The sequence below is a fragment of the Homo sapiens genome, chromosome 14 (genome assembly GCF_000001405.40).
Source record: "Homo sapiens chromosome 14, GRCh38.p14 Primary Assembly".
NCBI classification, from domain to species: domain Eukaryota; kingdom Metazoa; phylum Chordata; class Mammalia; order Primates; family Hominidae; genus Homo; species Homo sapiens.
The window spans coordinates 101,944,669-101,970,438 of record NC_000014.9 but is presented as its reverse complement, the minus strand read 5'-3'; the positions used below and the strand labels follow the sequence as shown (position 1 = coordinate 101,970,438).

The 25,770-nt window shown below is 50.9% G+C and overlaps 1 protein-coding gene across 1 annotated transcript in view, besides 12 other annotated features; it reads right to left on the bottom strand.

The window, feature by feature from the left end:
• DYNC1H1 (dynein cytoplasmic 1 heavy chain 1) overlaps positions 1-5,866 on the bottom strand; it is a 91,871-nt gene extending 86,005 nt beyond the window's left edge. The window contains exon 1 of the mRNA NM_001376.5: positions 5,492-5,866. Coding sequence (NP_001367.2) covers positions 5,492-5,747 — 256 coding nt within the window. The 5' untranslated portion in view covers positions 5,748-5,866. The remainder of the gene's footprint in view (positions 1-5,491) is intronic.
• Positions 4,909-5,518: an enhancer, noted in NCBI's record as "NANOG-H3K27ac-H3K4me1 hESC enhancer chr14:102431258-102431867 (GRCh37/hg19 assembly coordinates)". NCBI's record gives its function as "activates a minimal SCP1, AML or CMV promoter by ChIP-STARR-seq in naive H9 embryonic stem cells {active_cell/tissue: H9 hESC(naive)}" and the evidence as "EXISTENCE:reporter gene assay evidence [ECO:0000049][PMID:30033119]".
• Positions 5,174-5,383: a silencer, noted in NCBI's record as "silent region_6106". NCBI's record gives its function as "represses an Ori minimal core promoter by ATAC-STARR-seq in GM12878 lymphoblastoid cells {active_cell/tissue: GM12878}" and the evidence as "EXISTENCE:reporter gene assay evidence [ECO:0000049][PMID:35858748]".
• Positions 5,519-6,129: an enhancer, noted in NCBI's record as "NANOG-H3K27ac-H3K4me1 hESC enhancer chr14:102430647-102431257 (GRCh37/hg19 assembly coordinates)". NCBI's record gives its function as "activates a minimal SCP1, AML or CMV promoter by ChIP-STARR-seq in naive H9 embryonic stem cells {active_cell/tissue: H9 hESC(naive)}" and the evidence as "EXISTENCE:reporter gene assay evidence [ECO:0000049][PMID:30033119]".
• Positions 5,874-6,033: a silencer, noted in NCBI's record as "silent region_6105". NCBI's record gives its function as "represses an Ori minimal core promoter by ATAC-STARR-seq in GM12878 lymphoblastoid cells {active_cell/tissue: GM12878}" and the evidence as "EXISTENCE:reporter gene assay evidence [ECO:0000049][PMID:35858748]".
• Positions 6,174-6,313: an enhancer, noted in NCBI's record as "active region_9061". NCBI's record gives its function as "activates an Ori minimal core promoter by ATAC-STARR-seq in GM12878 lymphoblastoid cells {active_cell/tissue: GM12878}" and the evidence as "EXISTENCE:reporter gene assay evidence [ECO:0000049][PMID:35858748]".
• Positions 8,978-9,154: a silencer, noted in NCBI's record as "fragment chr14:102427622-102427798 (GRCh37/hg19 assembly coordinates)". NCBI's record gives its function as "represses an EF-1alpha promoter that drives an FKBP-Casp9 reporter gene in an ReSE screen in HepG2 liver carcinoma cells {active_cell/tissue: HepG2}" and the evidence as "EXISTENCE:reporter gene assay evidence [ECO:0000049][PMID:32094911]".
• Positions 8,996-9,055: an enhancer, noted in NCBI's record as "active region_9060". NCBI's record gives its function as "activates an Ori minimal core promoter by ATAC-STARR-seq in GM12878 lymphoblastoid cells {active_cell/tissue: GM12878}" and the evidence as "EXISTENCE:reporter gene assay evidence [ECO:0000049][PMID:35858748]".
• Positions 21,864-22,053: an enhancer, noted in NCBI's record as "active region_9059". NCBI's record gives its function as "activates an Ori minimal core promoter by ATAC-STARR-seq in GM12878 lymphoblastoid cells {active_cell/tissue: GM12878}" and the evidence as "EXISTENCE:reporter gene assay evidence [ECO:0000049][PMID:35858748]".
• Positions 22,178-22,839: an enhancer, noted in NCBI's record as "H3K27ac-H3K4me1 hESC enhancer chr14:102413937-102414598 (GRCh37/hg19 assembly coordinates)". NCBI's record gives its function as "activates a minimal SCP1, AML or CMV promoter by ChIP-STARR-seq in primed H9 embryonic stem cells {active_cell/tissue: H9 hESC(primed)}" and the evidence as "EXISTENCE:reporter gene assay evidence [ECO:0000049][PMID:30033119]".
• Positions 22,354-22,473: an enhancer, noted in NCBI's record as "active region_9058". NCBI's record gives its function as "activates an Ori minimal core promoter by ATAC-STARR-seq in GM12878 lymphoblastoid cells {active_cell/tissue: GM12878}" and the evidence as "EXISTENCE:reporter gene assay evidence [ECO:0000049][PMID:35858748]".
• Positions 24,162-24,821: an enhancer, noted in NCBI's record as "OCT4-NANOG-H3K4me1 hESC enhancer chr14:102411955-102412614 (GRCh37/hg19 assembly coordinates)". NCBI's record gives its function as "activates a minimal SCP1, AML or CMV promoter by ChIP-STARR-seq in naive H9 embryonic stem cells {active_cell/tissue: H9 hESC(naive)}" and the evidence as "EXISTENCE:reporter gene assay evidence [ECO:0000049][PMID:30033119]".
• Positions 24,822-25,483: an enhancer, noted in NCBI's record as "OCT4-NANOG-H3K4me1 hESC enhancer chr14:102411293-102411954 (GRCh37/hg19 assembly coordinates)". NCBI's record gives its function as "activates a minimal SCP1, AML or CMV promoter by ChIP-STARR-seq in naive and primed H9 embryonic stem cells {active_cell/tissue: H9 hESC(naive and primed)}" and the evidence as "EXISTENCE:reporter gene assay evidence [ECO:0000049][PMID:30033119]".

The following is a 25,770-nucleotide window of genomic DNA, read 5'->3' as shown; positions in this document are numbered from 1 at the left end:
ATTATTCTGGTGGTCAATCACTATTATACACGGCCTCCCTTTTTTTCCCGCTTTAGTTTTCCCCTTTCTTGTCTCTGGCGCTTTCTCTTGTCACCTGCATGTCCACCCTTTCATCCTCCTGAGGGGCCATGACTTCTTTCCCACAACCACTCCCTGCTCTGGTACAAGGCTCAGAACACGGTGAGAAAGTCGGAGTATTCTCCTCCACCTGAAGATTTCCATTGTAACATCATTAGGAATATGAAGAGAGCATGAAACCCCATATAATACTTATATTTAACGTAAACTGGAGCTCATTTTGGTATTTCCCGAAAAGAAAAGAGAAAGAATTTTTAAAAATCTACTAAGTTATTAACACTAAAGGAACTTAAGACTTGGTACTTTTCAAGTTACTACTAACTCAAAATAAATAACAGATACCAAGGCACTGCAGAGATGAGTTTTTAGGTTTCAGAACCCTCCTTAGAACATCCTTTTCCCAACTGGGTCTTAAAATCCTAGGGTTTTGGTTTCCTCATTCATGAAAGATGAGGGCTGGGCTAAATCTCTCTTGCTGCTCCCAATCTGACATGCTCCGATGCTGACACGCAATTTTCATCCATGTTTAGTTTTTAAAAAGAAGTGATAACTGTTTTCCCTTTGCTGTACATAAATTTCGTTTACTATGCTACACTGCACATTCAAATTTATCTTGCTGCAGATGGTGTGTCCCACAGTGTGACAGCATGGGGCAGTTAACAGCCTCGCTGAAGTGCGGATACCACTGAGTGCAGAGCCTGGTAGCTAGGTTTGTTTTCTCCTTTTGAACTGGAGGCCCCTGGTACAAACACGCGCTGCCAGATCTTCCGTCAGGCCAAGAAGCATCTGAGTCTGATCTCCCTCTTTGTGTCTGCTGGAGCTGGAGGTACTGGAGCAACACTGTACGGCCTGCATCTGGCACAGTTCAATCCAGATTTTACTAGGGACAGAAAGAATAACTGGGTGCCCTAGAAGAAACTAGGTCACAGGGATCAATACAAATTCTACTCAGTGAATGTGGATTACAGTAAACTGAAGAAAGAAGGTCCAGATTTCTAAATAAAATGTTTCACTATAAAGCTGCTTTAGAAAGAAGGTCTTGGCCAGGCACGGTGGCTCACGCCTGTAATCGCAGCACTTTGGGAGGCCAAGGCGGGTGGATCACGAGGTCAGGAGATCGAGATCATCCTGGCTAACACGGTGAAACCCCGTCTCTACTAAAAAAAAAAAAAAAAATTAACCAGGTGTGGTGGCAGGCGCCTGTAGTCCCAGCTACTTGGGAGGCTCAGGCAGGAGAATGGCGTGAACCCGGGAGGCGGAGCTTTCAGTGAGCTGAGATCGTGCCACTGCACTCCAGCCTGGGAGACAGGGCGAGACTCTGTCTCAAAAAAAAAGAAAAAAAGAAAGAAAGAAGGTCTTGCAGAAGCCAATAGTACAATTTTCCACTTAACCAGAAAACATTTCTCCTCTAAATGCACGAAATCATGGTGATATGTTGTGTTGGAGATTAATTACATTGATTAAACTACATTTCTTCATCCTTTAGAATTAAATCCTCAGGCTGGATGTCATGGCGCACGCCTGTAATCCTGGCACTTTGGGAGGCTGAGGTAGCAGGATCACTTGTGTCCAAGAGTTCAAGACCAGCCTGGGCAACATGGGGAGACCCTGCCTCTACAAAAAATACAACAATGAGCCAGGCGTGGTGGTGTGTGCCTGTAATCCCAGCTACTCAGGAGGCTGAGATGGGTGGATCGCTTGAGACCGGAGGTTGAGGATGCGGTGAGCAGAGATTGTGCCACTGCACTCCAACCTGGACAACAGTGAGACCCTGTCTCAAAAAAAAAATTCCAAGTCTCAAACACTGGAGTGTTAAACAAACAAACACGTGGGGTGTGGTAGCTCACACCTGTAATCCCAGCACTTTGGCAGGCGGAGGTGGAAGTATTGCTTGAGCCCTGAAGTCCCAGACCAGCCTGGGCAACATGGTGAGACCTCCTCTCTATTAAAAAAATGAGAAAATGAACTGGGAGCCCAGGAGGCCGAGGTGGCAATGAGCCATGACTGGGCCACTGCACTCCTGCCTGGGTGACACAGTTGAGACCCTGTCTCAAACAAAACAAAACAAAACAAAACCCTTTCCCCACCAAAAACAAACAAAAAACCCAAACTACACGCTCTCATCCAGACCAACCAACCTAGCAGCCAATCCCAGGCAGGTCATGAACAAGCTGCAGAGCAGACAAGTCATGGAAATGTCAGTTCCATCAGCTGCAAACTGAAGCATACCCCACCGAACGGAGATACACAACCAAAAAATGGTCCTTGAAGTAAAAAATGCTACAAAAACGTCATTAACATAAAATGGCTAGTTAAGTAATGAGCACCTATTTTGTCACCATGCTGTAAGCATACTATGAGGAAGACAATTTCCTACAGGCCAGGAACTATACAAAGGTTTCTCTTTTTAAAATGAGGAGCTATAACTTAATCCCTTTTTCCCACAAACTCTCCAATTCCTCAGTATCAAGATGAGTTGTTAAATTCACAACATTTATTCTATACTTTGAGTAATGCTGTACTTGATTTATTTTAGAGATAGGGTCTCACTCTGTACCCAGGCTGGAGCAAAGTGGTGTGATCCTAGTTCACCACAGCGTCAAACTCCTGGGCTCAAGCAATTTTCTCAAGTAGCTGGAACTACTGGCATACACCACCATGCCTGGCTTATTTTTTAATTTTCTGTAGAGATAGGGTCTTGCTATGTTGCCCAGGCTGGTCTTGAACTCCTGGCCTCAAGTGATCCTCCTGCCTTGGTCTCCCAAAGTGCTGGGATTACAGGTGTGAGCCACCGCACCCAGCTCAATGCTGCACTTTAACAACAAAAGTTTATGGCTAGCTGGGGTAGCTAAAACAAACAAACAAATAAAAAATATATATAGTTTCACATAAAAATGTTTCTATATTCAATTACAAGTGTTTGGATACTTCCACAAAAAAAGTGGAAGGAATAAAATAAATAAAAGTAATTTCTACTGTTCATTAAATTACATGACTTCATTGTTGGTGATCTTTATTCAGTTTAAATAATTCAGCTCTGTTGTCTACATTAATGCATGCCTATCTTTTCACTGTAATTAACTACTGGATGCACATATTTGATTAAATGTACAAATGCCAAAGCTAACTCATAAAAGCCACCAAGAAGAAAGCCCTCCTACCAAAAGTCCTGGGTCTCTACTTATATCTAAGGTGTCCTAGTGTAGCCAGGCTGCTAATAAGACAAACAGACCATCTATCATAAAACTGGATTAATTTAAAAATCTTTCCTTAGGTTTTTGTAAGTGAAAAATAAATTATAGACAGGTTGAATTGGTAGAAATACTTCAAGGATTGTTATAAATACAGAAATGAGGTAGGATTTCAATTTTAGATAGTCTCATTCCTTAGTCAACTTTCAAAAGTGCAAGTCATTATGGAGCCAAGATTTGGATACCTGCATATTTGTTTTGCTGAAAGAAAAAAAGGTACTCATAAGACAACAGAGAGAATTTGTAGTAGATATTGTACTACATAAACATAGTCCCCCCACCCCAATAATTTTAGCAACGTCCAATTTTAAGATGCCTGGAAAAAGCGAATTACTGGTGATCACTCTAGAAGCAAAGTATAAAACTTAAATTTTTTTTCATAAAAAGAGTGACACAAGGTAAAAAAAATAAAATCACTGATTCTAATACATAAACTATGCAATAAAAATATCAAGGATTAGCAATGGTCAAGCTACTCAAAATACAATTAACTTTAAAAATGCAGATTAAAATGTATTTTAATAAAATGACGAATATGCATTGAAAAATGACCACAAAGACATAAACCAAAAATGCTGACAGTGATTATATCTGGGTCAAACAATTCCCAGTGATTTTTACTTTAGCTGTATAGTACATTTTCTACAATGACTATATGTTTTTTGGAAAAAAAAAAGAGTAGATAAATTTTTTTTTTTTAACTTTTGTGGCTTCCACTTAGGAATACATAATCCCAAACATCACAGTAAACAACCCTCAAAAACATTAATACTCTAAATATGCTCAAATGGTTTATTTGCCTTGAACATTCCACGTGGATATAAGAAAAAAATATTCTTTTACACCCTGCTAATCTCTGGCAGGAAACCAAGGCTACAGGGAAGCATCTTCTGAGTAAGAATAGCCTTTGAAAGAAACAAACCATCAGAAACACAGTGTGTGTTAAGGATGGGGCAGACAGTACAGGGTCTCTCACTGAGAGAACCATACAGTTTTTTGAAATTTTAAGAAGCTTGTTGGCAAATATTTTTAGACAATCTCCAATCCCTAGAGGCTAACCTTGGACATCATCCTTAGGTTCTTAGATGGACACGCCACACCCAAAGTGGTTGTAATGGGCTACAAAGTGGTTGTAATGAATCCATGAGAAAGCCTGCCTGCAGGCAAGCCCCAGACTTAGATGAATGTAACCTTGCTGGTGGGCGATCATTATTTGAGGAGACAGCTGGAACACGCTAACTCTAGCCTCTTCCCCCTACTAGGTGCCTAACCTGAATCTTTTTTTTTTTTTTTAATCTGTAAAATTAGACTCAAATATTACAGGGTTATCATTAACATCATCGAAGCATTAAACAAATATGAGGTATGATCAGTGAAAACAAGCAGTGGATGGGGAGCTGAGACACTGAGTCTAGTCTCAGGACTAAGATTAGCTGGTGACCTTGGGTGAAATCACTTAACCTGAGCCTCAGTTTCCTCAGGTGTAAAATCAGGATACACCCGTTCAGCAAGGATGCTGTGAGAGCATCCACCTACAACAGTGATGCTCGCAGGCCCGGGGCTGGCACCGTCGCTCTGTGGGCCTCGGCCTCTGGGTCCCCACAAGGCAGGGCTGGGACACCCGCCCGACCTCCTCCCGAACCAGAACCCCGGCTGCCCCCAGCTCCGCGGGTCTGCCCCCGACACATCCCTCCCGAAGGCCACTTGGCTTGGACACAAATCGAAACCGAAAAGCTCATGTGACACTGGAGGCAGGGATGCGGCCTCGCCCGCTCTCAGCCCAGGGAGACGCTGTCTCCACCCAACTCGGCCATCTTGAGAGGCCCGAGCAGACAAAGCGACCCCATTGTTTTGGGTGACGGCAGACGGGGACCCCTTTCCCCTCCCCGCGACCAGGAGCGGGGCGCCCTGGGGGCTCCGGGCCGGGCAGTGGGTGTGGCGAGGGCGAGCCCCGGGCGCCGCGCCGGCCTCTGCGGGGCGTCTGCGGCCCTGGGGACCCGGCCGGCGGGACGTCTGCGGCCGCCGGGCTCTGCCCATCCAGGGGTCATCTGCAGCTGCCGGGCTCCTCCCATCCCGGGGACATCTGCGACCCCGGAGGACCTGGCAGGCCCTGCATTCCGCGAGGCCTGGCTCTGGCGACCCTGCCCTCCGCGGCCCCGCACCTTTGAGCGTGGAGCGCTCCACCAGCACCGTGTGGACCTGCGGGTCCGAAAGGAACTTGCGCATCTGCTCCAGGGCGCTCTTCTCCTCCAGCGCCGCCTCCAGCGCGGCCGGCGCCTCGCCGCCGTCCTCCAGCAGCAGCGGCACCAGCTTGCGCAGGTGCTTCTGCAGCACCGACACGTCCGCCACATTCTGCACGGCCGACACTTCCAATCCGGCCGAGCCGTCCTCGCCGCCGCCGCCCCCGGGCTCCGACATGGTGTCGCGCTCGGGACCTTCCAGGAGCGATGAGAAGGCGGCCGCGACTCAGCGAGACAGCCAGCAAGAGACAGAAACGGCCGCCGGAAGCCGGACCGTCCGCTAGCCCACCGCAGACTGAGGAGAGCGGGAGCCGGCTCCGCCCTAAAGGCAGCCACTGCCAGGTGGCCCCGCCCCGCCCCGCCGGCCGCAGCCGCCGCAGCCACCCGCGCTCGCTCGCGGCCTTAGCGTCACGGCGCCGCGCGTGCGCGGGGGGCGGGCCCGGCGATGTCGCCGCGCGCCCTTCTGGGACTTGTAGTCTCGGCGCTGGTCGGGGCCCGCAGCCTCCGCACTGCGAGTCCTAGGAGATGGGGACTTGGCTCAACGTCCTGGCTCGGCGCCCGGGCTTGGCGAGGTTGGTCAGGGGCTGCGTCTGTCTTCTTCACTGCTGTGGACGCAGCGAATAGCACACAGCCAGAGAAACTTTATAGTGAATCAGTGATGTTATTGGCGAGAGCTAACGTTTAGTGAGCGCTTAGCCTGTGCCCGGCGTTGTTCTAAGCCCCTTAACCTCTCATTAAATGTTCTCTCATTGAATGAATGAATGACTACGTATCAGGTACCAAAATATAGGCACGACAGATGTGTTATTAGATATAGACCGGGAGATTGAGGATACTTTTCAGAGGGGGAGGAGATGAGGGGCGTGCTCAGAGAGTCCCATTGCCAGGCTGGAAACGGACAGCTGGGGAGGGGGCCTTCGGGGCAGTGTAAGGTTAAGCCAGGAATGACACCTTCACTGTACGTAAAGCCAAGCTGTGATGGGATCTGGTTCCTAATGACAAAAATCATTGTCCCCGAGGACGCTGTGAGGACCAAGAGGGAGACCTACTGAGAACAGCTACCTCCAGCAATGGCTCTCCTCCAGCCCCCTAGAGCTGGCACTGTCATTCTGTGGGCCTCAGTATCTGGGTCCGTACAAGGCAGGGGCTGGGTTGCCTGCCCACCAAGTTTCCCCCTAGTTCGGACCCACCACGACCTCCTCCCCTACACCATGACTACATAAGAGCCAGAATCCAGGCTGCCCAGCTGGGTGCGGTGGCTCACACCTGTAATCCTAGCATTTTGAGAGGCTGAGATGGGAGGATTGCTTGAGGCCAGAAGTTCCAAGACCAGCCTGGTCAACCTAGCGAGACCCTATATCTATGTGTATTTAAAAATTAAGAATTTTGTAAAATAATAAAAATAATAGAATCCAGGCTGCCCATCTTTGTAGTTTAGAGATGGTAGGTTCTTCTAAGGGGTAGTAATTGGCCTTTGAAAGTTCACATTCATAACTTCTTTCTTAAGTTGGGTGGAGAGAGGGAAGCCAATGGCGTTTTTTTTTTTTTTGGTTTTTTTGTTTTTTTTAAACATCAAAGTGCACTGTCAGAGTGCCGAGTCCTGATTGGTGGAATGATGATGGTATGATTTGATTCTCCCAAATCATCTTTGAAAAACTGTGAAACATACAATAAGCTTATTCCTTGCCTAATTACCGGTTGCTGGGTCCCAGGGGGTTGCTGGAACACGGAGACTAATCAGATGATTCTTGTCTTTAAGGAGCATGTGGAAGAGGGGACAGATGAATACCCCATCTTCCTGCTCTCCATCAGTCCGCCCTGGTGTGATGTGCCTAAGCAGTTCCGAGTAATCTTCCTGGAAAAAATAAATAGGCAACTGCGATGAGTTTGTGCAAGGATCCTAATGGTAATGAATAATAATAACACACCACTGACAGCGAACGCTGAGTGTTCACTGCGTGCTAGGCACCATGCAGAGGGTTTCCCCTCACATGTACTTTAGGGGTAGAAAGAGGGACAAAGAGGAAAGTCTATTAGGTGCAGATCTGTGAACTCTGAATAGGCCATCCACCATCTGAGACTCAGAAACCTGCAGGGACCTGGCCGATGGGCAGGCTGCATGCTGGCTGCACCATGAGTCAGCACCAGACTGGGAGACGCAGCCACTCAGGGATCCAAGGGACTCAAACATCTGCAACCTGGCCCCAGGCCAAGAGAACAAACTGCAGGCTCCGGATTTGCGGCCCTGTAGGATAGGCTCAAAATGAAACATGTTTGTTATTTCTAAGTGGATGGGAACTGAAAGAACCCGAACAATCAGTGTACAAGGATTCATGAATGGACCAAACATGCTTGCTTTTTGTTCTTGAAAGATGTTTGTTGTATTTAATATATAACGAGAAGAGTGGTCAACGCTGACTGGGTGCTGAGCACTTTAAGTGCATTACCTGGGTGGCTGGCTGGGCTGTGCCAGGGTTGAAGGGTGTGGGGAGCTTCTTTCAAGGTGCCCCTTCTGCCTCCTGGCACAGGACTCTGGCTCCAGCACACCCCAAGCTGACCCTGGTGGGGGTAGGGCCCCTCACCCAAACCTGGCCTCTCCCGTCTCTTGTTCTGCTGCCTCAGCTTTCTCCTGTCTGTGGTAGAGTCTGCTTGGACAGACTCTGGGCAGGGCAGGGGGCAGGGCAAGCTGGAGAGAGAATTCGTTCTAGGTTGATGTGGGATGATAGTGGCTGGTAGGGCGCTTGTATCCTATTGGAAATCCATGATGAGATCCCATTCATTCCCACCCTTCTCTTAACAATGTCTCCTTAAGTCCAAGTCTCAAGTCGGGTGCCCAGTTTCATACCATCCTTCCTCTCCCTCTCACAACCTTCGGGCAGGACCAACCCCCTCAGAGGAACCCCTGCTGCCCCAGCCCTTTCAGGCTCTGTGCCCAGGATCTCCCCTCCACTCCCTGGAAATTCCACATTTGGCCAGGTGTGGTGGTGCACACCCTTGTTCCCAGCTACTCAAAAGGTTGAGGTGGAGGTCGAGGCTGCAGTGAGCTGTGATCTCACTACTGCACTCCAGCCTGTGCAAGAGAGTGAGACCCCGTCTCTAAATAATAATAATAATAATAATAATAATAATAATAATAAATTTAAAGAAAAAGAATTTCCATCTTGGGCTCATTCGTTCATTCATTCATCCCCACTTGTGAGAGCAGGGAGGTCTAAGCTTCTCGGGATTCTCAGCACCAGCGGGGCCTGGACCAAAGCGTGCACTTGGTTGGTGGGTGTGAAACTAATGCCTTACCCCGAGGAAGGGGCGCTGGCGGTGGCCGTGGGGACACGGGGTGCACTGTGGATCAAGACCTTCCTGGCCACATCTCTGGGGCTGTCAGGGTGCTGCTGGAGGGCAAGGCTGGGACTTCACAGGTTCGCAGGGCTGCAGGACGCTTTCTGAGGAAGCTCATTCCAGGATCCACCCCCTTTCTGTCTTGATTCCTTGTCAAATGAGCCTCAGGGTGAGGCTTGAACCAGATCTGGTTCCTGGAGGCTTCGACCCCAGCAGGTTGGAGTTTGAAGCGCGTGGTGAGAACGGAACGGTCTCTTGGCGCCGTCTAGTGGCAGCAAAGGATGTGTCGCATGGAATTTTCTTCTGCTTGTAGGGGACCCACCTCCCCAGCCTGCTGCCCATCCATCCTGGTGACAGCAGGCTCACCTGCCCAAGGTCACCTGGCTTGCTTGTCCAGGGTCACAGAACAAGTAATGACAATGAAAATGCCAGCATGCACCCCACTGCCCATGGGGAAGATGTTAGTGAATCTTGTCTCTACCTGGGCAGACAATTCCCACCTGGCTCTCCTGACCCCTGGATTAACCCAGGCTGCCTGCAGACCCTCAAAACCTCTGACACCGCCCTGGCCCTTCCCTCTGGTAGTGTGTGGCCCCTTCTCTTACCAAAGGCTGTCGGTGTCCCCAGCCAGGACCACTACTCCCTGGGTGTGCTGCCTCCATCTCCTCTCAGGGTTATCACCTCTGAAATTCTCCCCTCGCTCCCAGATGTTCTCTCTCTCTCCTAGATTTTTTCCACCGATGTCTGAGCTATTCTATCCCTTCTTTAAAGGAAAAGAAGGAAGCCCTACCGTAGCCCACTGCCAGCACCTCTCCACTGCTTTGCTGCCCTTTCCAGCAAAACTCCTTGAGAATAAGCATATGTGGGCACTGCCTTTCCCACCCCATCCCCACATTCATGGGCAGGCACTCTTGGCAAGGTCACCAGTGACTTCCGCGTGGCCAAATCCAGTGACTAGTTCTCAGTCCTCATCTTGCTTGACCCGTGGACACACTGATGCAGCCGGCACTCCCTCCTTCTCTGAACACCACCTTCACCTGGCTTTTGGTGGCCGCACTCTCCAGATCCTCCTCGTCACCAAGGTTCCTTCTCAGTCTCCTCTGCTGGATCCTGCTCTTCGCGACCTCTGAAGGTTGGAGGGGCCCAAGGCTTGGCCCTCAGGCTGGTTTGTGTTCTATCAGCACGCCCTCTCCAGCGCCCTCTAGCCTTGGATTTTCTTTTTTCTTTCTTTCTTTTCTTTCTTTTTTTTTTTTTTGAGATGGAGTTTCGCTCTTGTTGCCCAGGCTGGAGTGCAATGGCTCGATCTCCGCTCATCGCAACCTCTGCCTCCCGAGTTCAAGCGATTCTCCTGCCTCAGCCTCCCAAGTAGCTGGAATTATAGGCATGTGCCACCACACGTGGCTAATTTTGTATTTTTAGTAGAAACGGGGTTTCTCCATGTTGGTCAGGCTGGTCTCGAGCTCCCGACCTCAGGTGATCCGCCCGCCTCAGTCTCCCAAAGTGCTGGGATAACAGGTGTGAGCCACCGCACCCGGCCCTTTTCTTTTTTTTTTTTTGAGACAGGATCTCACTCTGTCAACCTAGCTGGAGTGCAGTGGCACAATCGTGGCTCACTGCAGCCTCGACCTCCCTCCCAGCCTCAAATAATCCTCCCACCTCAGCCTCCTGAGTAGCTGGGACTACAGGCACATGCCACCACACCTAGGTAATTTTTGTTTGCTTGTTATTTTTTGTAGAGATGAGGTTTTGCCAAGTTTCTCAGTCTGGTCTCAAATTCCTGGGCTCAAGGAGCCTCCTGCCTCAGCCTCCCAGAGTTCTGGGATTACAGGCATGAGCCACTATCCCCACCCAAGCCTTCCTTGGATTTTCAATACAGCCATGCCTTGAATCCCAACCTTAGAAGGCGGTGTTCTGCTGTTGTTGGGTGGAATGTTCTAAGAAATGTCAATTAGGCCATGTTGGTTGACAGTGTTCAAGTGTTCTTATCTTTATTGGCTGAGCATGGTGGCTCATGCCAGTAGCCCCAGCACTTTGGGAGGCTGAGGCAGGAGGATTGCTTCAGACTAGGAGTTTGAGGTTGCAGTGAGTTATGATTGCACCACTGCACTCCAGTCTGGGTGACAGAGACCCTGTCTCTATTTTTTAAAAAAATACTAAAATAAATATTCATTTAGTACATTCTAACTTAAAACATTAGAAACGCTGAGAATTTTTTTTTTTTTTTTTTTGAGACAGGGCCTCACTCTGTCACCCAGGCTGGAGTGCAGTGGCACAATCTCGGCTCACTGCAACCTCCGCCTCCCAGGTTCAAGCGATTCTCCTGCCTCAGCCCCCTGAGTAGCTGGGATTACAGATGCATGCCACCATGCCTGGCTAATTTTTTTTTTTTTTTGTATTTTTAGTAGAGACGGGGTTTTGCCGTGTTGGCCAAGCTGGTCTCGAACTCCTGACCTCAAGTGATCTGCCTGCCTTGGCCTCCTAAAGTGCTGGGATTACAGGCAAGAGCCACCACGCCCGGCCTGGGCTGAGCATCTTCTTCCAGGCCCTGGTGAGTTGCCACGCTGCTTTCTAGTTGGAGTAGCTTCCAACATTTTATCCTTTGCACTTCCAGAGTTTCAAAATATCTCCCAGAGTTCCTTTCATGTGAGATTTTTTTGCTGGTATCACACCCCCTAGGATATCATCATCCTTCTCATCTCAACTGTTTCCTTATTTCTGTGGACAGGCTGCCCTCACTCAACCCCTCTAGCTGCACTGCTGGAGCCCCTCGTTGGTGGCAGCATCCATGTTCTCTCCTGCAACTGTTTCCTCTATGACCTCACTTATATTTGATTGGAATGTCCTCTCCAGGGCTATCACATTTTATTTCTTTATCACACATTCACCTCTGTGGGCCAGTGATGTAATTGACCATGGATCATGACGTGCTTCTGTCATTTATGATGCAGTGATTTGTGGACTGAAGAGCTGGCAGCAAAGCTTGTACTTTATTCAATTACTCACAGGTAATTTACGATGGTAACTGGTACTTGAACCGTGTGGCTGGGAAACTGGTGTTATTGAACTAAACCGTGGTAAGGAAATCTTGTCCATATAGATTGGACCCATGCAAAGCTGGAACTGCCTATATTGACTGATTTTCTCCCTCCATTTCACATTCTGCCTCCCCATTCGTGCAGGAGCCTAGCTTGGTCTGTGGTTCTAGGACTGAAAGCAGAAGGTGCCTATTGGTCTTTCAGGCTTTTTTTTTTTTTTTTTTTTTTTTTTTTCCCAAAAGTCCTAGCCCTTGAGAGTAAAAGGGCATATGGGGGAGAAAGGGGAAAGTTAGAATCTCCCATGTAGGCAAAGCATGCTGGGGAAGCAGGAGGTGACAGAGCCACAAGAAGACTCTCCAGGCTGGGGTGAGGAGAGGCAGGTGAGGGGGTCCTGCTGCCCACCGGCCCCTAGAGAGCAATGCTGGGGAAGTGGGAGCTGGCACCCAGGTGACAAGACCCCAGGCAGGCTGGCCAAAGAGGCCCTCCTACCCATTGAGGCCAGGAGAAGTGTGGGACCAGAGGGCCAGGGTAACCGGTGTGAGGCAAAGTAGCAAGCGTAAGAAGCCATGTGTGCTCAGTTCTGCTTGTCAATGTAATTTCACAAAGCCCTGCCTCTGTGACCACGTGTAGCTCTCTGGAAAGATGCTCTGAAGACAAAACAGGACAGAGCACACAGCCCACGTGTCTTGCTGGAGTCAATATGTTCCTTAAAAGATAAATGGCCGTAGCCTTGCCTTTTCCTGTACATAAGATAACATATGACGGGGTTAGTGCTGATTATAACCTGATGTGGTTATAAATCTACAATCTATAACCAGATGTACTCTCTCTCTTTTTTTTTTTTTTTTGAGATGGAGTCTCACTCTGTCACTCAGGCTGGAGTGCAGTGGCACAATCTCAGCTCACTGCAACTTTCACCTCCGGGTTCAAGCGATCCTCCTGCCTCAGCCTCCCGAGTAGCTAGGACTATAGGCATGAGCCACCACACCCAGCTAATTTTTGTATTTTTTTTTTAGACGGAGTTTCGCTCTTTTGCCCAGGCTAGAGTGCAGTGGTGCGATCTCAGCTCACTGCTGCCTCCACCTTCTGGGTTTCAAGTGATTCTCCTGCCTCAGCCTCCCAAGTAGCTGGGATTACAGGCACCCGCCACCACTCCCGGCTAACTTTTATATTTTTAGTGGAGACGGGGTTTTACCATGTTGGCCAGGCTGGTCTCAAACTCCTGACCTTATGATCTGCCTACCTCGGCCTCCCAAAGTGCTGGGATTACAGGCGTGAGCCACAGCGCCCAGCCTACTTTTTGTATGTTTAGTAGAGACAGGGTTTCACCATGTTGGCCAGGCTGGTCTCAAACTCCTGACCTTGTGATCTGCCCACCTCAACCTCTCAAAGTGCTGGGATTACAGGCATGAGCCACCATGCCTGGCCTACAACCAGATGTACTCTTGTACCCAGACTTTGATGTGATTTTGCATGCACTAAACCTCCACTACCTGGATATAAGCGATCTGAAATGCTGTTCTGGAGCACTCTGACAGTACCTCTCTCAAAGACTTCTGGCCTGTATTCTTCAGCCTCCAGGCTTCAGTAAGGCTTCTGAATAAAATTAAATTTGCTTAAATGCTTGGGCAGGGACCAGGCACGGTGGCTCATGCCTGTAATCCTAGCACTTAGGGAGGCTGAGGAGGGAAGGTCCCTTGAGACCAGGAGCTGGAGACCAGCCGGAGCAACAAAGTGAAACCCCATCTCTACGAAAAATAAGCTGGGCATGGTGGTATGGGCCTGTGGTCCCAGCCACTTGGGAGGCTGAGCTGGGAGGATCGCTTGGGCACCGGGAGGTCGAGGCTGCAGTGAACCCTGATCACACCACACCAGCCCAGGCGACAGAGTGAGACGCTGTCTCAAAAAAAGAAAGACAAAAAAAAGTCTTGATGCTTTTCTTGCGTCGATACTGGTGTGACAGATGACAGATGACCTGGGCCAGCACGTTCTCCCCGGACAGAGCATGTCCCTGCTGCGCTTTAGCTGACTCAGGAAGGGGTAGAACCCTGAAACTGAATCCTGGGATGTGCTGGCCGTGGAATTGCGGAGTCGTGGAATGGGAGCCTGGTCAGACACTAGGCTGTTGCATACACTGGAGAGGGGGGACTTGTGGGCACGCCCCACTGCTGGAGGGAGAGGCCTGCGTCTCCGGCTGCGTCCTCACCACGCGCCGGGGGCTTCTAACGGCTTCCTCCAGCATCCCCAGATCCACCAGATGGATTAACTCTGCAATGCGAAGGTCAGGAACAGGTTTGGAAAGGGCAGTAGCTTGCTGAAGTCTCAGAGATAACAGGAGGCGGAGGAGGGGTTCAAACCCGGAGGCCGACCGTGTCTAGAGCCTTTGAGCCACCAAGGGGCATGGGCCGGGTCCTCTCCTTCCATTTTCCCCGTGCCGAAGGGCTGGGAATCCTAAAACATTCCCTCCCTCTCTCCCAAACGTCGATGAGCAGCTCTCTGGGCGGCAGCGTCCAGTGCAGAAAGCCGGTTGCCAAGGGCCCGCCCGGGACGCCCGCGCAGCAGCAGCGGGGCCAGCGCATCCGGACGCTTTCAGGTCCCCACCAGCGCACAGCGCCCGCAGCTGCCCGCTGTCCTGGCACGTGGGGCTGGGCCCGGCTCCGAGCGGGCGCTGGCAGATATTAACGTAGCTGTTTCCTTTAATTCCATGAGACCTTTCCTCCCAGGACTGCTGGAGAGGCAGCAGCAGAATCTCCTCCATCCGCCTCGCCAGCTGGGCACGCAGGAAGGCCTGGAACCACCTAGAGCAAGCTTGTCTAACTCGCGGCTCGCATGCGGCCCAACACAAATTGTAAACTTTCTTAAAGCTTTTATTTAATTTTATTTTTTGTGATTTTGTGTTTCCCCGCTCATTAGCTGTCTTTAGTGTATTTTATGTGCCCCAAGACGATTCTTATTCTTCCCACGTGGCCCAGGGAGGCCAAAAGACTGGACACCCTAGAATGACCTAGGTCACTCGCCTAGAACAACCTAGAACAACCGTCAGGTCCGGCCAAGTCTTGGTCTTGTTGCTTAGACTGGAGTGCAGTGGCGCAATCTTGGCTCACTACAACCCCCTCGGCTTCAAGCAATTCTCCTGCCTCAGCCTCCTGAGTAGCTGGAATTACAGGCACCTGCCACCACGCCCAGCTAATTTTTGTATTTTTAGTAGAGACGGGGTTTCACTGTGTTGCCCAAGCTGGTCTCGAACTCCTGACCTCAGGTAATCTGCCCACTTTGGCCTCCCAAAGTGCTGGGATTACAGGCGTGAGCCACCACACCCAGCCTCACTTTGAAGAAAGAACTCCCCACTTTACTCCAAAGGACATGCACATTTCACAGGCAACCCAAAGTTCCCAGAGGCTTGCCCATGTCTGCAAGACTGGGACTTTGCTGGGCCTCAGGACGTGGTCCCTTCTCACCGTGGCAGTGGGGGGACATGTCGACATTTTTATTGACAAAACAAAACCCTATTTCACCCTTAAAGGTGATGGAACATAAAAGGATTTATCAGAAAATAGTGTTACTCTTTCCCTTATCACTGCAGAATCCACTAGTGCTGCCAGACAGCCTTATTGTAACTGTTATTTCTCTCTCTCTCTCTCTCTCTCGTATTTGAGACAAGGTCTCTTTCTGTCATCCAGGCTGGAGTGCAGTGGCATTATCATAGCTCACTGCAGCCTTGATCTCCTACCTCAGTCCCCCATCACCACCCAGTAGCTGGGACCACAGGTATGTGCCACCACGGCCAGCTAATTTTTACGTATTTTTTGTAGAGACAGGATTTTGCCAAGTTGCCCCCGCTGGTCTTGAACTCCTGGACTCAAGCGATCCTCCTGCCTCAGCCTCCCCAAATGCTAGGATTACACACGTGAGCCACTGTGCCCAGCCTGTAACTACTTTTTGTGTATATTAAAACTCTTTAGCATTTATTTTCTAAGTAGAGTGAGTAGGGGGCTGTGGATCAGCCACTGACCTCTCTACACTTGACTTCCATTCCTCGAGCATGAGGGGAAGACATGGCGAGACCATGTTTAGAAGCACTGCTCAGGCTGGGTGCGGTGGCTCACGCCTGTAATCCCAGCACTTTGGGAGGCCGAGGCCGGTAGATGGCTTGAGTCCAGGAGTTCAAGACCAGCCTGGACAACTTGGCAAAATCCTGTCTCTACAAAAAGTACGTAAAAATTCGCTGGCCGTGGTAGCACATACCTGTGGTCCCAACTACTGGGTGGTGATGGGGGACTGAGGTGGGAGGATTGCTTGAGCCTGGGAGGTGGGGGTTGCAGTGAGCTGAGATTGTGCCACTGCACTGCAGCTTGGGTGACAGAGTGAGACCCTATCTCAAAAAGAAATTAAAAAAAAAAAAAGGAGCACTGCTCAGACAGCCTGTGAATACCAACTTGGAGACCTGAGGCCTGTTGATGGATCTTGCAATGAAAATGGGCTGCTGGGGCCAAAGAGATTTGGGAATCACTGAGTTAGACAAAGCTGAAGGGGTGTCATCACTGCAGCTCCTTTCAAATCCTCTAGGAGGCCCTTCCCAAACTTACTTGGCTGTGAGACTATTTTTCTTATTTATTTATTTATTTATTTATTTATTTACGAGGCAGGGTCTCACTCTTGCCACCCAGGCTGGAGTGCAGTGGTGTGATCACAGCTCACTGCAGCCTTGACTTCTCAGGCTCAGGTGATCCTCCCACCTCAGCCTCCCAAGTAACTGGGACTGCAGGTGCACACAACTGTGCCCAGCTATGAAACTATTTTTCAGTGGAGCATCTGTGGGGCTAGAGATCTATAGGTGACGTCAGCCTGGAGAACGCTATTGTAGAACATAGTATGTGTTTAATAAACACCGGTCATTATTGTAATCTTTTTAAAGAAGGCAAACAGCCCTTCCTCTTGCTAGTCCTCATCTGGACCAGAGGGCTTATTCCACAGGCACCTGGCAGTCTCCCTCTCGGGCTTGGTGAAGGACACCTCTCTCCTGTTATCGAGGTGGCTTTGGAGGAGTTTGGGAGGCTTTGCTGGCACTGACGTGGGTGGTGAGAAAGAGCTCTGGTTCTGGAGGGATCCTGGTGCTGCCACTCCCAGCTGCATGACCTTGGATGAGTCCGTTAACTACCCTGTGCTATGTTCCCATGAGCGTACCTGCCCCTGGGGCTGTGTGAAGAACAGATGGGACCATGTGGTACAGCTGCTAGCACAGTGAGCAGTCAATCACGGCTGTTGTTGCTATCACCATTGTCATTAGCAGTAGCAATGATGGTGGTGCTCTAGCCCCATCGGCACCGATCCCTGACCCCCATTCTGGGGGTAAGCCTTACTTGAGGAATGTAAAAGGCTTAAAAGGGACAGACTTAAAAAAAAAAATAGTTTCCTTTACTGAAAAGCAAAAAGCAGAAGCCTTAAGTTGCATTTTATTTACTGAGGTTTTAAAAAAAATTGTGGCAAAAGATAAATAAAATTTACCATTTTAATCATTTGAAGTGTATAATTCAGTGGCATTAAGTAAATCTGTAAAGCTCTACGACCATCACCACCATCCATTTCCAGACATTTTTGTCATCCCAAAGAGAAATTCTGTACACATTAAACAGTAACTCCCCACCACTCCCAACCTGAGGAGCAGTGTGGGACAGGACACCATGCAAGGTGAAGACCCTCCCCAGCATCCTGCGTTTTGCAAGGACCTAGTGCCTGCTCAGCTGTCACCCGTCAGGCAGAACACCGAAACTCAGCCACAAGCTGCTGCTGCCATCCCCAGCATATAACGAAGGAAAAATTAAGCAAGTGTGTGCTTCTTTAGCCTCCTCTCTTAATACTGCATCTTCAGAATTAAAACTGTGGTGGGCCAGGCGCGGTGGCTCATGCCCGTAATCCCAGCACTTTGGGAGGCCGAGGCGGGTGGATCACAATGTCAGGAGATCGGGACCATCCTGGCTAACGCGGTGAAACCCCGTCTCTACTAAAAATACAAAAAATTAGCCGGGCGTGGGGGCAGGCGCCTGTAGTCCCAGCTACTCGGGAGGCTGAGGCAGGAGAATGGCGTGAACCCGGTAGGCGGAGGCTGCAGTGAGCTGAGATCACACCACTGCACTCCAGCCTGGGTGACAGAGCGAGACTCCGTCTCGGAAAAAAACAAACAAACAAAAAAACCGTGGTGGACAACTAAATGCGACGTGGTGTCCTGCATGGGATCCCGGAAGAGAAAAGAAACACGAAGAAAATCTGAATACACTGGGCGTGGTGGCTCATGCGAGCAACTCCTGGGCCAAGGCAGGAGGATCGCTTGAGCCCAGGAGGTCAAGGATGCAGTGAGCCATATTCATGCCACTGTACTCAAGCCTGGGTGAGAGAACAGGACCCCATCACTTAAAAAAAATTATAGGCAGGCGGATCACTTGATGACAGGAGTTCAAGACCAGTCTAGCCAACATAGCGAAACCCCATCTCTACTAAAAACACAAAAATTAGCTGAGTGTGGTGGTGCATGCCTGTAATCCCAGCTACTTGGGAGGCTGAGGCACAAGAATCGCTTGAACCCAGGGGGCACTGCGATGAGCTGAGGTCACACCACTGCACTCCAGCCTGGGCAACAGAGGGAGACTGTGTCTCAAAATAAATAAATAAATAAAATCATGACTATAGGCCGGGCGTGGTGGCTCACGCCTGTAATCCCAGCACTTTGGAAGGCCGAGGCGGGTGGATCACCTGAGGTCAGGAGTTCGAGACCAGCCTGGCCAACACGGCAAAACCCCGTCTCTAATAAAAATACAAAAATTAGCCAGGTGTGGTGGCACGCACCTGTAATCTCAGCTACTCGGGAGGCTGAGGCAGGAGAATGGCGTGAACCCGGGAGGCGGAGCTTGCAGTGAGCCGAGATCGCACCACTGCACTCCAGCCTGGGTGACAGAGCGAGACTCCGTCTCAAAAAAAAAAAAAAAAAAAAAAAAAAAAAAATTATGTAGTAATGTCTATTTAACAAAGAAAGTCAAAATTGTCACTGGTGAGCTTCTTGGGGCCCAGGTCATGGGTGCTGGGGTAAGGTCCATCATTCCTTCCCTTTCAGAGGGACTTCCCAGCAAAGCAAGGGGTTACTATTTTCTTTATGAACCAGTGTAATTTCCCCTCTAAACCTCCCCTCATTCAGGCAGCTAGGCCGGAGCTTGCCATTGCTCTTAGTGGGGACTATTACAACAGGACACAGAAGAGCAAGAGCCAACTCCTTGCTTTTGACCTTCCAGAGGCTTGTGAGCACACAAGGCCCATGGTGGCTCAGAGATGCCTTTGTGGAAATGAGGAAAAGGCGCCTCTCCACCTCTTTGTATGCAGGCCCAAGCCTGGACAAGCAATGTGCCAATTTCACCCCCACTGGCTCACTAAACACCTGCATAACCTTGTGGGGCAGCCTCGGAGCTGAGAGCTGAGCCGGGGATGGTGTGGAGGGAAGTGCACACATCAGAGCCAGAGTTTCTCTGGGAATATTCCACAGACCAGGGTGGGGTCAGGGATGGGAGAAATCAGAGGACAGGCAGGAAGGTGAGGTGCTTGAACAGGGACTGCTGCCCTGGACTGGACAAAGATGATAGAGACACTGAGGGTGGTTTGGGGTTCTGGGAGCAAAGGGCATAGCTCCTTCTTGCTCCTGAGAGGTGTCCAGCTCAGTGAGAACAGCAAGAAAGCTGCTGGGGGCTGCTTGGGAAGGAGGCCTGAGACCACCTGGCAGTTACAAGGCAGCAGGGTGTGGAGGCAGCTGAAGGGAAGCTAGATGTGGAGTGGGACACGCTGTGCCCCATGTGGACCATCCTGGAGTGAGATGGCCTCTGCAGATGCCAGTGGAGATGGACAAGGTGACAGGGGACCAGATTCCCCACCCACACCACCCATGACTTGGCTGCCACAACCCCCAGAACTGAAGGATGGGATCCTGGATGGACTGAGATTGAGTTTCTGTCCCTCTGTGGAATGGAAACTTGAAGCAAAAGTGAAGGGAAGGTGCCTTCATGAAGAGGAAGAAAGGTTTCCAGGACAGCGAGCCTACGGATGGTGATCTGGAACTGGCACCCATCCAATTCTACCTTTGGAATACCTTCAAAACCCAAACTCCTTTTCCCTCTCTGCACTGCTGCCACTGTGGTCCAAGCCACCCTCATCTCTGGGTTATCTCTGTAGCCCTCCACCCTCCAAGGGCTCTCTGACCCTACTCTGGTCTCAAAGAGTTAATTCTCAACAGACCAGCAGAGTGCACCCGCTACAATGCAGAGACCATGTCAGTCCTTAGAATCCTGCCATGGCTTTATGCCACTGAGTCCTTTTTTTTTTTTTTTTTTGAGACGAAGTCTTGCTCTTGTCCCCCAGTCTGGAGTGCAATGGCACGATCTCGGCTCACTGTAACCTCCGCCTCCTGGGTTCAAATGATTCTCCTGCCTCAGCCTCCTGAGTAGCTGGGATTACAGGTGCGTACCACCATGCGCTGATAATTTTTTTTTTTTTTTGAGATGGAGTCTATGTCGCCCAGGCTGGAGTGCAGTGGCACGACGTCGGTTCACTGCAAGCTCCGCCTCCCGGGTTCACGCCATTCTCCTGCCTCAGCCTCCAGAGTAGCTGGGATCACAGGCGCCCGCCATGCCCGGCTAATTTTTTGTGTTTTTAGTAGAGGCGGGGTTTCACCATGTTAGCCAGGATGGTCTCGATCTCCTGACCTCGTGATCCGCCCGCCTCGGCCTCCCAAAGTGCTGGGATTACAGGCGTGAGCCACTGCGCCCGGCCGCCAGAGTCCTTTTGGTGGCCACGTATTACCTCTGACCATCACCTGCTGCTCAAACCCACACTCACGCCACTGCATGATCCCTTCCACCCCAGGGCCCTTGCACACGATGAGCCCCTGGCCTGCAATGCCCTTCCTTCACTTCCTTCATCGTCACCTTCTCAGTAAAGCCCTCCCTGCCTCTTTTGTAAATTTCTTCCCATCCTCTATACCCTTCCCACCTCTCTCCCCATCTTTAGCTTTTCCCTGTATCACTTATTCAACACAGCATAGATTTTGTTGAAGGCAGGGGTTTCTGCCTTCTGTTTAATGCTAGCTGCCCAGTGCCTAGAAAAGTGCCTGGCATCCAGTAGGTGTTCAATAGATATTTATAGAGTTAAATGCACTAAACTTAGGAGGCGGAAGTTGTTTTTTTTGGAGGCCTTTGCCCATTTCACTCCCTCCTTCCCGTTCCACCTTCTAGGTTTCTCATTCCCTCTGCTTCTTCTCTTTTGCTGGCTCTGGCCTGCAGCCCTCTTGCCCCTGGTGTAAAGGGCTCAAAACGCCAGACAGCTCTGCCGCCATGGGGAGGAGACCCTGACTGAGAAGCCAGGGCCCCGGCCTCCAGGGTCACCAGTACCTTGGGCAGGCCGGGGTGTCGCTGGGGCTTGGGTGACTCCACCAGGCATGGAGGGGGTGGGTACTCCCAGCTGGCTCGCCAACCTTCGCTTCTTGCCTCGCAAAGGCAACCTGGCGGAGGGTCTGTGGGTCAAGCAGAGTCCAGCTCTAGTTTCTCCCCTTCCAGGCTGTGCGCCCTCAGCCAGGCCTCTCCTCGCCTACAGGGCTCGCGGACACTTCTGACCCTCACTGAGGTCGTAAAGATTACAAGTCAGTGGTCCACAACGACTGGCGTCGGGCCCGCCGCATACCCACTATGTACGACTGGCCGCTAAGTCAGCCGAGGCCCTGGGGCTCCGCTCCACAACCCAGCCCACGGTCAGCTTTCCTGGGCTGCTCCGTCCCGCGAGGCCATCGCCCCATTCATATTCGGCAGGGCATTTCCACGCGTCCCGTCTCAGGCAAGCCCCAGAGCACCCTTTTTCGGGCAACACTGTGCCCACTTCACTGGAGAGGGAACTGAGGTCCACGTCATTGGGAGAGGAACACGTGACATATTGAGCTCTTTCCTCAGCAAGTGACCTAACCCGCCTTGCCCTCGGCCGTGAGCAGAGGGCCAGACCGGAAGTCCGCTAGCTCTGCTGTTCCGAGGCCCGCCAGTCTCCAAACCCCGGTCTTAGATCGAGGTCTCTGGCCGTTTCCCTCCGCAGCAAAACCCTTGTTCCAGGACTACACCAGACGGGTCACACGACCTAGATCGGCACGGTCACATGTCCCGCAGTCCGGTCATGTGCACCCTCGGACCAATCCCAGCGGCCAGGAAGGAGAGGCATTGTGATTGGCCCATGCCCTTCAGGGGGCGGGACTCCTGCTGAGGAGGGCCTTCCCCGTTCTCACCTCTGCGTTCCGCGTGAATCTCGCTCACTCGCGAGATTGGGCGTCTGACAGGTGCCCTTAGGTCCCACAATGCACAGGCCGGAGGCGGGGCGGTCCTGCATTGACGCAACCTCGCGCGCCGCTTGCGTCACCTCTCGGTGCCGCCCTTGAGATTGGGGCATTTCTCGCTGAGATCCTGCACTCGGCTCCAGGTATCCTGGAGGAAAGAACGAACTTCTCCTGGGCCCAGAAGTTTAGGTCCGCTGTCGTCCCCCGCCTGCCTCTAAGGCCCTCTCCTCGCGACAGCCTCTGAAACCATCGGCTCCTTCCTCATTTCTGTCACGGCCTGGCTTGCATTCCAAGCCAGGCACTCATTTCATGTTTATTGTTCCAGCTGGACTAGGGGTACTTAAACCGTGGTCCATGGCTGGGCTTCCGGGGCCGTGACCCCCTTAAATTATATGCAGTATGTAGCTTGTTGTGGGTGGCTTCTGTCACACTTAAATGCTGGGTGCCATCACAGGACTGGCAGGGCCCTACTGTGGTCGTCAGTGCGCTCTTTGTCAGCACAGAGCCTGACGCAAATGTCCAAAGGTGCTAATTAGACAGAGGCAAATATCCCAACTGTTGCCCTCTGCACACACCTCGGTCTACTCTTTTAAGACTACTTGCTGTTACCTGCACACACCTTTATTTATTTATTTATTTATTTATTTAATTTTTGAGACAGGGTCTCGCTCTGTCGCCCAGGCTGGAGTGCAGTGGCGCGATCTCGGCTCACGGGCTCAAGCGACCCTCCTGCCTCAGCCTCCCGAACAGCTGGGACTACAGGCCTGCGTCACCACGCCCGGCTAGTGGTTTTTTTCTTTTTTTTTTTTTCTTGAGACGGAGTCTTGCTCTGTCGCCCAGGCTGGAGTGCAGTGGCGCCATCTCGGCTTACTGCAACCTCCGCCTCCCAGGTTCAAGCGATTTTCCTGCCTCAGCCTCCCGAGTAGCTGGGATTATAGGCGCTCGCCACCACACCCGGCTAATTTTTGTATTTTTAGTAGAAACGGGGTTTCACCATGTTGGCCAGGCTGGTCTCGAACTCCTGACTGCCTCGGCCTCCTAAAAGTGCTGGGATTACAGGCGCGAGCCACTGCGCCCGGCCTAGTTTTTGTATTTTTTGTAGAGACGGGGTTTCGCCATGTTGCCCAGGGTGGTCTTGAATTCCTGAGCTCAAGTGATCCTCCCGCCTAGGCCTTCCAAAGTGCTGGGAGTACGTGAGCCACCGCTCCTGGCCCTGCACACAGCTTTTGATTGTACGCCTTCCTTCTGTCATCATGCTGTTCTCTCTGACCGAACAAATCTCTCTTCATCTTTCTATCAAACATCGATTGAGTTTGAGCGAGGGCGTGGAGGGGTTGAGCACAGTGCCAGGCACTGGAAGCACGTTGGTGAACAAGACAAGCCTGGGCAATGTTCCCACAGAGCTCACGATCTAGCGGGGGAGACAGGTTGGAGATAGGGGAGAGGCTGCGGGCGTCTCAGATCTGGCACCAGAGAGATCCTAGACTCCAGGATAAGCAGTCAATAGCTAGGTCAGGGCTGGGCGCGGTGGCTCACGCCTGTAATCCCAGCACTTTGGGCGGCCGAGGCAGGTGGGTCACGAGGTCTGGAGTTCAAAACCAGCCTGGCCAACATGGTGAAACCCCATTTCTACTAAAAACACAAAAATTAGTCGGGCGTGGTGTCGGGTGCCTGTAATCCCAGCTACTTGGGAGGCTGAGGGAGAAGAATCGCTTGAACCCGAGAGGCGGAGGTTGCAGTGAACCGAGATGGAGCCACTGTACTCCAGCGTGGGCGACAGAGCAAGACGCAACTCTGTCTCGGGGGAAAAAAAAAAAAAAAAAAAAAAGCCAAGTCAGGGCAAGATGTGAAATAGCACGTTGGAAGGCTCCTGGGTAAGATTTGACCTGTCACAAGAGGAGAGAAGGTAGCCGGGGCAGCGATTTGATTTCCGGAATGGTGGTTGCTAGGCAGTGTTCGGAATGGATCAGATGGGTGTTTTTGTAAGATCCCTCTGGCTGTTAATGTTAGGGGTGCAAGGGCAGGAGGGAGTTGGGCAGCCAGAGGCGGAAAGAGAACAGCCAGAACAGAGGCTGGATGTAGAATTCTGAACATGTGTGGGAACCTTTCTGGGCCTCAATTTGTCCATCTGTAAATTGGGAGGTAGACTCAATCTTTACGGTCCTCCCACCTCTGATTAAAATTTAGCAACAGTCAGCCGGGCGCGGTGGCTCACTCCTGTAATCCCAGCACTTTGGGAGGCCGAGGTGGGCGGATTGCCTGAGCTCAGGTGTTGGAGACCAGCCTGGGCAACACGGTGAAACCCCGTCTCTACTAAAATACAAAAAAATTAGCCGGGCGTGGTGGCGGGCACCTGTAGTCCCAGCTACTCGGGAGGCTGAGGCAGGAGAATGGCTTGAACCCAGGAGGTGGAGGCTGCAGTGAGCCGAGATCGCGCCACTGCACTCCAGCCTAAGCGACAGAGCAAGACTCCGTCTCAAAAAAAAAAAAAAAAGAAAACTTAGCAACACTTCAGGTAGGTGAGAATTTACAAGTGGTTAAAACAGGGGAGAAAGATAATGGGAAAGAAAGAAGGCAGGAGGGATGGAGGAAACAAAGGGGATACCTGCGAAAGAAGGGACTCCAGTGAAAAATCACAAAGGCTTGGTCAATGTCATGTGATTAGCCCAGCTGTCAATTATAGAAGTTAGGATTCTGTCTTCCCACAGAGACTGGAGGAGTCTAACCTTCCTCATGATTACATTTCAAAAGGACGGCTTTCAGGTCCTAAAGAAAGACACTCCTGAGCTGAAGGAGATAGATATACATCTCAAAGGGATAGAGGCGGGATTCGTATTTGCAAGCCATTTTTAGTAAATGCTCAAAGGGAGGGCCCAGGAGTCTTTCATTAGGTGTTGGCTAAAACAAATAGTAAATTCTTCTGGCATCATTGAGCTTCTCTGGCAGGCATTGTAACGGGGGTGCTGGGATCATCCTAGGAACTTGTGCTTCTAGAAGCATGCTACTCTTTGGTCATCTCTTAGTGCAGAGGTTAGAATGGAGTTGTCATGTGCTGAGAGGTCTGCAGTTCTCAGGGTGCACTTTTTTTTTTTTTCCTTTTTTGAGATGGAGTCTCCCTCTGTTGCCTAGGCTGGAGTGCCATGGCACAGTCTTGGCTCACTGCACCCTCCACCTCCCAGGTTCAGGGAGTTCTCCTGCCTCAGCCTCCCGAGTAGCTGGGACTACAGGTTCATGACACCACACCCGGCTAATTTTTGTATTTTTTTTTTTTTTTGGTAGAGATGGGGTTTCACCATGTTGGCCAAGCTGATCTTGAACTCCTGACCTCAAGTGATCCGCCTGCCTCGGCCTCCCAAAGTGCCGTGATTACAGGTGTGAGCCACCATGCCTGGCCAGGATGCACTTTTATTCATTTAGTAATTTCTTCACGGCTTCTATGTCTTTTTCATTATGGAGAATGATGCTGTCATGAGCATTCTTGGGCT